Source organism: Homo sapiens, chromosome 3, assembly GCF_000001405.40.
Source record: "Homo sapiens chromosome 3, GRCh38.p14 Primary Assembly".
NCBI classification, from domain to species: domain Eukaryota; kingdom Metazoa; phylum Chordata; class Mammalia; order Primates; family Hominidae; genus Homo; species Homo sapiens.
In genome coordinates, this window is record NC_000003.12 from 190,830,663 (window position 1) to 190,842,841 (window position 12,179).

At 37.5% G+C, this 12,179-nt stretch overlaps 1 pseudogene; it reads left to right on the forward strand.

Moving 5' to 3' along the window:
- ENAHP1 (ENAH pseudogene 1) lies at window positions 303-1,708 on the forward strand (annotated as a pseudogene).

A 12,179-nucleotide genomic window follows, 5' to 3' on the forward strand; every position in this document is an offset into this window, starting at 1 on the left:
GTTTCGCCGTGTTGGTCAGGCTGGTTTCGAACTCCTGACCTCAGATGATCCACCTCCCTCGGCCTCCCCAAAGTGCTGGGATTACAGGCATGAGCCACCGTGCCCGGCCAAATGGTGATCTGTTTTTAAAAATGGGGCCCAGTTCCATGTTTCTTTTTTCCGCATTCTATAAGGACATGTGAACATGGGGAATATCAGCTTAACCTGCAGTCAATAAGCACACATGAAGTCTTAACAGACATTTAGCACTTGTATATCCTCTTTCTAAGCCTTGAATGCCTTGTGTCTACCCTTAAAATATTCATAAGGAGCTGGAGCAGGGAAGGCTGGTGAGAAAGAACGGAAAGAGGAAGGCTGGAGAGAGAGAGGTTAGAAAGGGAAAAGCTGGAGAGGGAGCGACTGGAACAAGAACAGCTGGAGAGCCAGAGAGAGAGACAAGAACAGGAACAGCAAACTCCTGAATCTGGAGAGGCAAGAAAGACAAGAAAGAGAGAGGCTAGAGAGACTGAAATGGGAGAGGCAAGAGAGGGAGCGACAAGAACAGTTAGAAAGGGAACAACTGGAATGGGAGAGAGAGCGCAGAATATCAAATGCTGCTGCCCCTGCCTCTGTTGAGACTCGTCTAAACTCTGTGCTGGGAGACTCTTCTGCTTCTGACCCAGGCTTGCAGGCAGCCTCTCAGCTGGCCGAGACTCCAGCCCAAAAGGGCATTGTCTTGGGACCTCTTGCACCTCCACCTCCTCCACCACTCCCACCAAGGCCCGCACAGGCTTCAGCAGCACTCCCTCCTCTTCCAGGGCCCCCTCCACCGCCTCCATTCCCCATCCACTGGGCCTCCACTGGCCCCTTCTTCCCCCTCCTTTCCCTAATCAAATACCTCCTCCTCCTCCACCGCCTCCTGTCCGGCCCCTCCCTGCATCTGGATTCTTTTGGGGATCCATGTCAGAAGACAATCGCCCTTTAACTGCACCTGCAGCTGCAATTGCAGGAGCAAAACTTAGGAAAGTGTCACGGATGGGGGATGCCTCTTTCCCAAGCAGAGGGAATGCTACTGGTGTGAACTCGGCCTCATCTAAAACAGATACAGGCCTACAGGCCATGGAAATGGACTCCTTCCTTTAGGTGGTAGTGGTTTAGTGAAATAAATGAGTGCCCTGCTGCCAGGAGGAAAAGAATTGCTGAAAAGGGATCAAAAATAGAAACAGAAGAAAAAGGACAAAGGTGAAGATTCAGAGCTTGTAACTTCTAAGGCCTCTTCAACAAGTACACCTGAACCAACAAGGAAACCTTGGGAAAGAACGAATACAATGAATGGCAGCAAGTCACATGTTATCTCCAAACCAAAATCCACACCCTTATTACAGCCCAGTGGCAATGGAGTCCAGATGGAAGGACTTAACTACCACAGGCTGAAGCAGGACATCTTAGATGAAATGAAAAAGGAATGAACAAAGCTAAAAGAAGAGCTCATTGATGCAATCAGGCAGACACTGAGCAAGTCAAATACTGCATGCAGAAACAGAGTAAGGTGAGATAGGACTTTAATCTGGAGGAAAAAAAAATCCTACTAACCGCAACTGTTCACAACAGCAAACCTCTACATTTTATGAGCTGTGAGAAGAAAATGGAGACAAACAGAAGGAGGGAAAAATCAACCTACTCTGAAAGTCTTCAGATATTATGACTCTGGCGATAAGCTCTTTCCCTCACAGTTGGCTGCTTTTTTCTGGCCTTTACAACAGAATGGAAGAGAATCATATAAGAATTCCTGTAACAGTTACGCAGAAAATACTAAAACCCATCAGGCAAGATCACTGTACATTGAAATATTTTCATGTCAAGATAAAATTGCACATTTTCCACAATTCAGTGCTAAAATAAAGAGGAGGAAAGCTTAGAAAGTTTTTTTTGCAGAGAGTGCTGATAAAGAATTGAGCAAGTTTGCTATTGTATTGTAATGTTTCTCTCAGGTTTGTTCTTCCTATCATGTGTGATATTCCATCAATAATTGAGATCAGCCCTATGTAAGTTAAGATCATAATATGTGGAACAAATAGAATTGTAAGTGCTTTGAAAGGGTAATATTTATAAGAAAGTGTCCTAAATTTGTTCAGCTTGACGGATTTTAGAATGATGGGAAGTCTCTTGTTAGCCTTCGTGCAATTTTGTAGATTAAAACATAAACTTTGTCCAGAATGTAAAGATTTAGACGCCTTCCTAAATGGTTACAATGCATTACCACATCTAAAGACTTCTACGTAACACAAACTGGTGATCAAATGTAAACACTATATTGTAGACTTACTGTAGGTTTTCCACCTTTTAGGCTTATGCATGTGAACATTTTTATAATGTAATTACAATCACCACGAAGTTAGCTTTTTAAATTGCTAATGCATGTGACCCTAATATGTAGTGGCCTTTTCAAGGCCTAGTTCCAGAGAAAACATTTTGTAGAGTATAGGGGGTGGGAGGAAGTGAAGAAATAATTTTTTATTTAAAGTTGATTTCTGCACTATCTTTTTCTCAATTAGCTGCATGAATAATAATGAAGAATATTTTGTGACTTTAATTGGTAAATATGTTACAAAACCAAGTACTTAATCTTTTACTTCATGTCTTCAGCTATTTGTATTTATTTATTTATTATTTATTTATTTATTTATTTATTTATTTTGAGACGGAGTCTCGCTCTGTTGCCCAGGCTGGAGTGCAGTGGCATGATCTCTGCTCACTGCAACCTCCACCTCCACCTCCCGGGTTCACGCCATTCTCCTGCCTCAATTTCAATGGTCTGAAACATGATTTTGAGCTTCACATAGTATCTTACTGTGGAACTCCAAAGTTTGATCACTGAATTTGGCAGTTATTACCTAGGTACCCCTGCTGTTACACAGGTGTTTAGACACAGGTTCCTGAATGAAGCTGCTTTTGAATTTTGTTATGTTGAAATAAAAAAAAAAACAATGATGGCAGCAATTAAGGCCACAGAAATCATTAGGTAAAGGAAAACCAATGGGGAGTTCTGCAATTTTCTTTTAATAAGTAAAGTGAGACTTGGGTTGTGGGAAGAAAGAATTAGACACTCTACCTGCCACCCTGCGTGTGTGTGCACTCGTGCACGTGCTGTCTATATGGAAGTCACTCCCTTTTCTTTTCTTTGAAATGGGTAAGATTAAAATAGAGGAGAAATCCTATATGTTGCAATGACACCTTTTTGGAAAATTTAAGAAATCAAACTCTCCGGCCAGGCACGGTGGCTCATGCCTGTAATCCCAGCACTTTGGGAGGCCGAGACGGGTGGATCACGAGGTCAGGAGAGCGATAACATCCTGGCTAACATGGTGAAACCCCGTCTCTACTAAAAATAGAAAAAAAAAAAAAAAGAAAAAAAAATTAGCCGGGTGTGGTGGTGGATGCCTGTACTCCCAGCTACCCGGGAGGCTGGAGAATGGCGTGAACCCGGGAAGTGGAGCTTGCAGTGAGCCGAGATCACGCCATTGCCCTCCAGCCTGGGCGACAGAGAGAGACTCGGTCTCAAAAAAAAAAAAAAAAAAAAAAAGAGAGAGAGAAAAGAAATCAAACTCTCCATGCTCTCTATCTTGATTTATGCTTGAGTTATGTGCCATATTTGCTTTGAACTCTGATTATCAAAAGTTTTACTAAAATTTTAAAGAAATAATTCACTTTCATCTGCTTTCTAGATTTGTACCTCTCAGTTCATAAAGTAAAGCTTGTTGACAGTGCAGTTTTCTAAATGCTACAAATTTGCAGCTATTACCACTACAAAGAAGTTTGGATAAGGGATTTTTTTCTCTGTTAAAATAGTTCCTGTTTCTGTAGAAATTTCATTTTTAGATCAAACTGTGATGCATGAGCTATCATAATTCAAGTAAACATTTCCTTTTTTCTATCAGATATTCATTGTCATGCAGTAGTAGTAAAAACATCAAAGATGCAGCAAGCTTATGAAGTACTACTTTCTAAAAGAAATAGGAGGCATTTTCATCTTTATTATTGTACTTTCGGTTATGCAAACATTTTGATAATATAAACAGTTATGTCCCCTATAAATCTGGTCTTTCGATTTTGTTGGGTAAGTTAAATAGTAGGTACAGCACTGGGTACAAGTGGTCCAAACTAAGATAAGAGACTAAAATAAAATTCTAAATCTTAAAAGAAACTAGGTTTATGCACTAAACATTTTGTGCCTTCATCTAATATTAACATGATGTCTGTGTAAAATGACAAAAAGAACCAGTGTTGAATCACGCTATATTTTCCATCATCCCAGATTGCTAAATGTATTCTTTCCAAGAAGTCTGAATGAATTATTATATACATTTGCTGTAATGTATACATGGCAGTTGTGTCATTGTTAGAGATTTCAGGAATTAAAATGGGAAACAGAAGCTTAAGTTATTTTCCTTATCAAAACTGTGTTCCTTGGAACCACATTATTATGATGATTTTTGTTCTCTTGTACATTGGATGTCTTAAACTGAGTACGGTTTAGGGGATCCTTTCTAATTACAGGAAGGTATGCTTTCCTCAACATTGTGATTTGACCTGTGACAAATCTGTACTATCCGTTCTGTACATGGCTCCCAAGTCAATTGCAAACAAACTGAATGGTGCTGGTGCTGAAATCTCTGCAGAATAGTCATCATGATTGAAAAGTTGGTTTAAAAACTTGAGGGACTGTTGAAGGGCATGACTGTGTTTTGAAATGTGAGGACATGAGATTTGGGAGGGGCCAGGGGCAGAATGATATGGTTTGGCTCTGTGTCCCCACTCAAATCTCGCCTTGAATTGTAATTCCCATAATCCCCATGTGTCAAGGGCAGGACCAGATGGAGGTAATTGAATCATTGGGATGGTTTCTCCCATCCTGTTCTCATCATAATGAGTGAGTTTCACAAGATCTGATGGTTTTATAAGGGTCTGTTCATTTCCCCTGCTGGTGCACTCATTCTCTCTCCTACTGCCCTGCGAAGAGGTGCCTTCTGCCATGATTGTAAGTCTCCTGAGGGCTCCTCAGCCATGCAGAACTGTGAGTTGATTAAACCTCTTTTCTTTATAAATTGCCAGTCTTGGGTATTTCTTTTAACAGTGTGAGAACAAACTGATACAAGTGGGGAAGGTAAAGTGAAAAGTTCTGGTTCTGTTCCTCATCCACATTCCTAGACAAGATAATACACCAAAACCTCCCTACAGGAGTGGACATGAAATGTGAAAGTTTGTGGGATTTTTTTTTTGTATTACAAGTTAACACTCATCAGAGGAAAACTACCATTGTCGCAGTCCCATCGACACTGCAGTGCAGCACAACGGGCTCATAAGTGGAGTAGGCCTGATGGAGGAGATGGAAACTTAAACTATCATAAACCCAGCAATATGGGCTTCAAATTTCTAGCTGTTGCTTAATATCAATCTGCTATCAACAGAGACCATATGACCCTGCCCCATTTCTTAAGCAGATCAATCCGTTATTTTCTTTTAAGATGTTTACATTGAACCCCTTACATCAGAAAGGAACAGCAACTCATTTTGACTGAAATAGACAAATATTGAAGAATAGGCCTGCCTTCTAGTTCTCAGGGTTTTGATCAGCACCACTATTTAAGAATTTATAGAGTTTTGATGTATCACTTATGATTCTGCATAATACCATCTCAGAACAAGGAAGCTACTTTATGCCAAAAAAAAAAAAAGGTATGGAAGTGGGCATATCACATGCCCTCCCATCCTAAATCTGCCAACTTGATAGAGTAGATGCAAATAAGGCACCAACTTGGAGTTGATAGCCTACAAAGATGATATGCTATCCTCCAGGATGGGGTTTACACCCTAAATCAATGACCATTTTATGGTACTATGCTTCCATTACATAGAATATGTGAGTCCCATATCAAAAATGGGAGATAAGAGTGGCCCCACTTACTCACTCCATTAACTCACTGGGAGGACTTGTGCCTTAGTCTCTGTTGGCCTAGCGGCCCTATTCCTGGGGAGAAACTCCTTTACCAGCACCACAGTAACAGTCCCATAGAACTTTAAGCTAAAGTTGCCACCAAGTCATTTGGGCTCTTTATGCTAACAGTGTAGCAGATAAGGGAAAGGATCATTACATTGGCATGAGTAGTTGATCCTGGTCATCAGGAGGAGGATTGGCTACTGTTACATAACAGTTATAAGGAGGAAATGCTTGGCATTTGTTTGGCCCACTGGAGCAATTCTTGGTGCCTTTTTGCACAATTTGATGCTAAATGGACAAGTACATAAGACACAGCCTGAAAAGATCATGGTGACCAGGGCCTCAGATTACAACAGGGTTATTACTTGTGTCACTACCACATAAGTTACCCAGACAAGCAGAGGTGTTAGTTGAAATTAAGTGTACCTAGAATGGATTATGAACAAAAATAATGACTATCACTTGCAGTCGTAAGATGAACTGCCACGTGGGCCCTGCTGTTTGTCACATTAAAATTATTCTTGCCAGGCGTGGTGGCTCACACCTGTAATCCCAGCACTTTGGGAGGCCGAGGTGGGTGGATCATGAGGTCAGGAGATCGAGACCATGCTGGCTAACACAGTGAAACCCCATCTCTACTAAAAATACAAAAATAAAAATTAGCTGGGCGTGGTGGTGGGCACCTGTAGTCCCAGCTACTTGGGAGGCTGAGGAGGAGAATGGCATGAACCCAGGAGGCAGAGGTTGCAGTGAGTGGAGATCGCGCCACTGCACTCCAGCCTAGGTGAGAGAGTGAGACTCTGTCTCTCTGTCTCAAAAAAATAAATAAAATAAAATAAAATAATTCTTACAGGTTTATCCAGAAAAAAAACAAAGATCAACCAAAATACTGCAAGAGTTGCTCCCAGGTGGGATGAACTTACCACTGAAGCAAGTAGAGCTGAGAAGCTCACAGAGTACATTACCAGGAATATTGTGTTACACCACCTAGAACCTGTTTCATGATGAAGGTACTTACTCCCTCAGATGCCAGGTGTATAGACTCCTGAGCTCTTCCTCAGGAACCGACTTCAGTTTAAGAGAGCTGCCCCCCTCAAGGTTAATCCCACTTCCAAAGTCAAGGTCCAAAGCCTGGCCCTTTGCCTTAATTCTGAAGAGCCATCTCAGTTTCAGAACTCTCCATGGAGTTGGCTGAGGGCTTTGTTTTGACGGTATCATTGATCAATTTTTCTCTTTTCTAAACTTGCCCATATTCCTTTAGATACGCTGTTCCTGAGAGCACGCCTCTGAAAATCTCTTGCATGTATATCTGTCTATCTGAATCATTTTTCCTAAAGAAGATAACTTAGGACACAAGGTCACACAGAATATAAGTGACAACCAGAATTAGAACTCGGACCTACACACTCTCACAACAAAATTCTTTTCTCTACATTATACTGCTAAATTCTCTCAATATGTTTCTCATTTATGCTACTATAGGATGAGATGTGAATTATCTGTTTGCATGTCGTGTCCCAAAGTAGAAATAAACTCCTTGAAGACGATGACATGTATTATGAACATATTTATTTCGTAAGCTGAAAATATTGAGTATCTCATATTAAGAACCCAATTAACATTATATTTAAATAACTACAATGATAGATAAATAATTTTAGCTTATTTGAAAATTATGATTATTATGAATTAATTTCTTTATGGAAATTAGAGGAGTTGTAGACAAGGCCATACTGCCTTTTCTGACTTCCTGCTTTATTACCTCGGCCAGTGCAGGGTATTCATGAAACCCCCTATTCCACTTCCTTCTCATTGCCGCCCTCCATTTATTACCATCTTTATCTTCCTGAAAAATAATTGCAAGTAGGTAAGTCTTGTTCATAAGTCTATATGCATTCCTGTTTTCTAAAGGTGAGTTTAAATGAAGTAATTTTTTTTTCTGGATGAATAGAAGTCTCTGTGTAATTTATTAACACCAAATTTTTCAATTTTATTTACTATTTATTTATTTAATCCACCCTAAATTTCTTCCGTATTATTTTGATCTCACTATTTTTCTTTCATCTCAAATGCTTTTCTAGGTCCCATTATTCAAAATTTTAAGAATCCTTCAGGGTCCAGATCAATTGCTACATTTTCAGTCTTCATATTTTTCTAATGACTACCTCTCCCATGCTAAAAGTAAGCCCTTTCTACGTTAAATCTTCATGCTTCTATTCTTAATTCTCTTCTGGTATGTATCATTTAAAAACGTGTATATTATGCACATTTGTAATTGTCTTATCCTCAATACTCATTTTTTTGTTCCTTTTCCCAGCAATGTGGCCTTGTACATGGTAATCACTAAGTAACTTTTACTGTGTGGATGAGATACAAGTGGATGTTGACAATATATTAGTTGAATGACCAGCCATGGAACTGATTTGTGTTCCTTAAGATATATGGGTCAAATACATTTAATTACAGATGGTAAGCCAAGTAAATATGAGGGGAGACATTAGGGATAGAAAATATTTCAATATTTTTGATTAGTATTGATGTAAAAATCCTCAATAAAATACTGGCAAACTGAATACAGCAGCACATCAAAAAGCTTAGCCACCATGATTAAGTAGGCTTTATCCCTGGGATGCAAGGTTAAACATACACATATCAATAAATGTGATTCACCAAACAGAACTGAAGACAAAAACTACATGATTATCTTAATAAAAAAAGAAAAGGCTTTTGATAAAATTCAACAAACATTCATGTTAATAACTCTCAATAAACTAGGTATTGAAGGATTATACCTCAAAATAATAAGAGCCATATATGACAAACCCACAGCCAATATCATTCCGAATTGGCAAAAGCTGGAAGCATTCCCCAGGAAAACTGACAAAGACAAGGTTGACCTTTCTTGCTACTCCTATTCAATGTAGTGTTGGAAGTTTTGGCCAGGGTAATCAGGCAAGAGAAAGAAATAAAGGACATCCAAATAGGTAGAGAGGAAGTCAAGCTATCCCTGTTTGCATAAAACATGATCCTATAGCTAGAACACCCCATAGACTCAGCCCAAATCTTCTAAATATGATAAATAACTTCAGTAAAGCCTCAGGATACAAAATAAATATGCAAAAATCACTAGCATTTCTATACACCAACGATAATCAAGCCAAGAGCTAAGTCAGAATGACCTCTCATTCACAATTGCTACAAGAAGAACAAAATACCTAGAAATACAGCTAACTAGGGAGGTGAAAGATCACTACAAGGAGAACTACAAACCACTGCTCAAATAAATCAGAGACAACACAAAAAAATGGAAAGAAAAACATTTCTTGCTCATGGATAGGGAAAATCAATATCATTAAAATGGCCGTGCTTCCCAAAGCAATTTAAAGATTCAGTGCTATGCCTATTAAACTACCATTGACATTCTTCAAAGAACTAGAAAAAACTATTTAAAAATTTGTATGAAACCAAAAAAGAGCCCTAGTATTTTTAAACAGGCTACAATGTCATTTTAATGATTAGTGCTAGCTGTAATTTTTGTTACAGATGCCTACTTTTTAGGGGTGTAGAAATCTTAAGACACATTTTTGGTATCATGATATGTATTTTATTTGAATGTAATTAAAAATACAATAGAAAACAATTAGTACTTACTTAAGTGATTTGATACTTGGAATGCAATTTTAGGGACTGATTTCAGCACCTTGGCCAGAGCAATGTGATGGAGGATGTTTTTGTTCACTTTGTGCACCTTGGGTTCAACAGGACAATTATTGCTTCCTCATACCAATAAATATATGTTCAAGAGTGAATCGCCAGAAGGCTGAGACAGAAGAATAGCTTGACCTCGACAGGCGGAGGTTGCAGTAAGCTCAGATGGCATCATTGCACTCCAGCCTGGGCGAAAAGAGCAAAACTTCATCTCAAAAAAAAAAAAAAAACAAACCGAGTGAGTGGCAAAAATATGTAAAACCCAACTATAATCATTTTGTAAATATCCACTAAAGTCTTCAGACAGTTGTTTTACTTTAATAACCATCCTTTTTAAATAACTAATCAACCATAGAGCCTTAGAGCTGAAGAGAACATTAAAAAATTACCTAATCCAAAACTCCTTTCTCCCGTTGCCCAGGGACAAATACCTGTGCTGAAGTAATTTTTTTCCAATTACAAATTTGTCCATAAATTAAAGTTCTTTTTATCATTGCAAATATGCTTATTAAACATGACATTTTCTTATACAATAGGTTATTTAGTAGAAATTTTCAGGAGACCAATGTTCTATTTCTAGGTTTTTCATGTGAATTGGACTAAGTAATACTAAAATTCTGGATCTAAGATTTTTGTATTTCATAAAACGAAACAAAGGGTTGTAATGATACTGATGGTGCTATAGTTGCATGTATATTATTCTTTTATGAAAGCAATGTGATCAAAGTGTGATTAGGACTCACAATCTGTTGAACTCCTTACAAAGGCATACCTTTCATAATTGAAATGACTTAGGATCCTTCCTGAAAAGTGACGTTATTCTCAATGATAATAAACCATAGAAGAAATGTGCCTCTTTGGACTGGATACTTTAATGCTTTCCAGTTTGCATATAAAACTAAGTTATTTTTAGTCTTACTTACATAAGAGTTAAAATGTTTAGGAGGGAATTTCTGAATGGTACATGTTAAAGTGGTACCATTCACGTAGAAATACAACATTAGTGCTAGGATTAAGTAATCTAGTCTATGAAAAAATAAAAGACAGTGGAGTGCCTTTCTTTTCTCTCACTATCATATCCTCCTTCTTTCCCTTATTTCTAGATTTATGTATTAATAATAAATTAAAATACAATATGCACTAGAAATATTGAAAAAAGACAACCACAGAAAGATAAGAAATATGTGTGCTGTAAGCCAAGTTATTTTACTCTTCTTTGTGTTTATTTTCTTTTCTTCTATCTTGGGATGGTCAACAACTTTAAGTTACAATGTATAATAAAATACCACACAATGCAATCATAAAATAATAATAGTTATATATGTTGATATGAAAACATGCATAATGAATTCACATATTCAAAAACTAGTCAGTTCTGTACAACAAATGGCCAGTTTATTTAACAAATCAATGCTGTATAGAAAAGTATTAGATAAGTTTGGCTGTTATAGAATAAAAGAGTGTTACAAAATAAAGGTTTTACTAAGAAGTAAAAAACTATATTAAGGAATTAATATTAATTTTGTTAGATGTGATAAGGGTCTAGTGGTTACTTATAATTGAACATGTATATTACAGTGATTTGGATGAAATGGCATGATATCTTATACCTGTTTTTAAGAACTCAAAATGGTGATCATAATATAGTAGTAGTTCTGAACAGATCAAACAAGATGTGAAAATGTTGATAATTGTTGAAGTACATGGGGCTCATAAAGGATTTTCCCTATTTTTACACGTTTGAAAATTTATACAACAAAAAGAAAAAATCAGCAGTTCCCAAAGTCACTATGCCCATTTCAGTATACTTCTCACCTTTTCTTCTACACATAAATGTGTATTTTAAAAAATACTTCTCATCTTTGCTTCTACACATAAATGTGTATTTTTGCTCTATGTGTATTGCTTTATGTGTTTAGTTTTGTTTTCTAATATGTATCATATAAGCATATGTGATTAAAAATATACCAATGTTTTGTAAAAATAAATGATTTTCTTTCTCCCACAATGCTAAAGGAACAAAAGTCTTATCAGAGATCATATATTGAAGTAAAGAAAATGTCTTATGGGTCCAATATATGTTGATGGTAACAATAATTACAGGGAAAGAGATCAATTCAAGAGCAAAATGATACCATGTTGGAGTCATCATAACTTGACTGGCCACAGATTTCCACTCTCAGAGTCTCTATCCCTTGCTGAACTACCTACTTTCTGATTGCACTTCTCGCAGGAGCTACACTCAATTGATCTATGTGGTTTAGAAAATCTTTTCCAGTTCTCATAATTTGCATTTCCAAGCTTTCTTATTCTACCTTGATGTGTTTCTTTATAGATGATTATAATAGTAGTGATTATAATAATTAACATTTCTGCATCTTACCTAGTATGTGTCAGGACTAGTTCTAAATATTTCAGTGTAACTCATTCAATCATTGTGTCAAAACTTGAGTTAAGCACTATAGTGTTGCCAATATTACAAATGAGGCAAAGT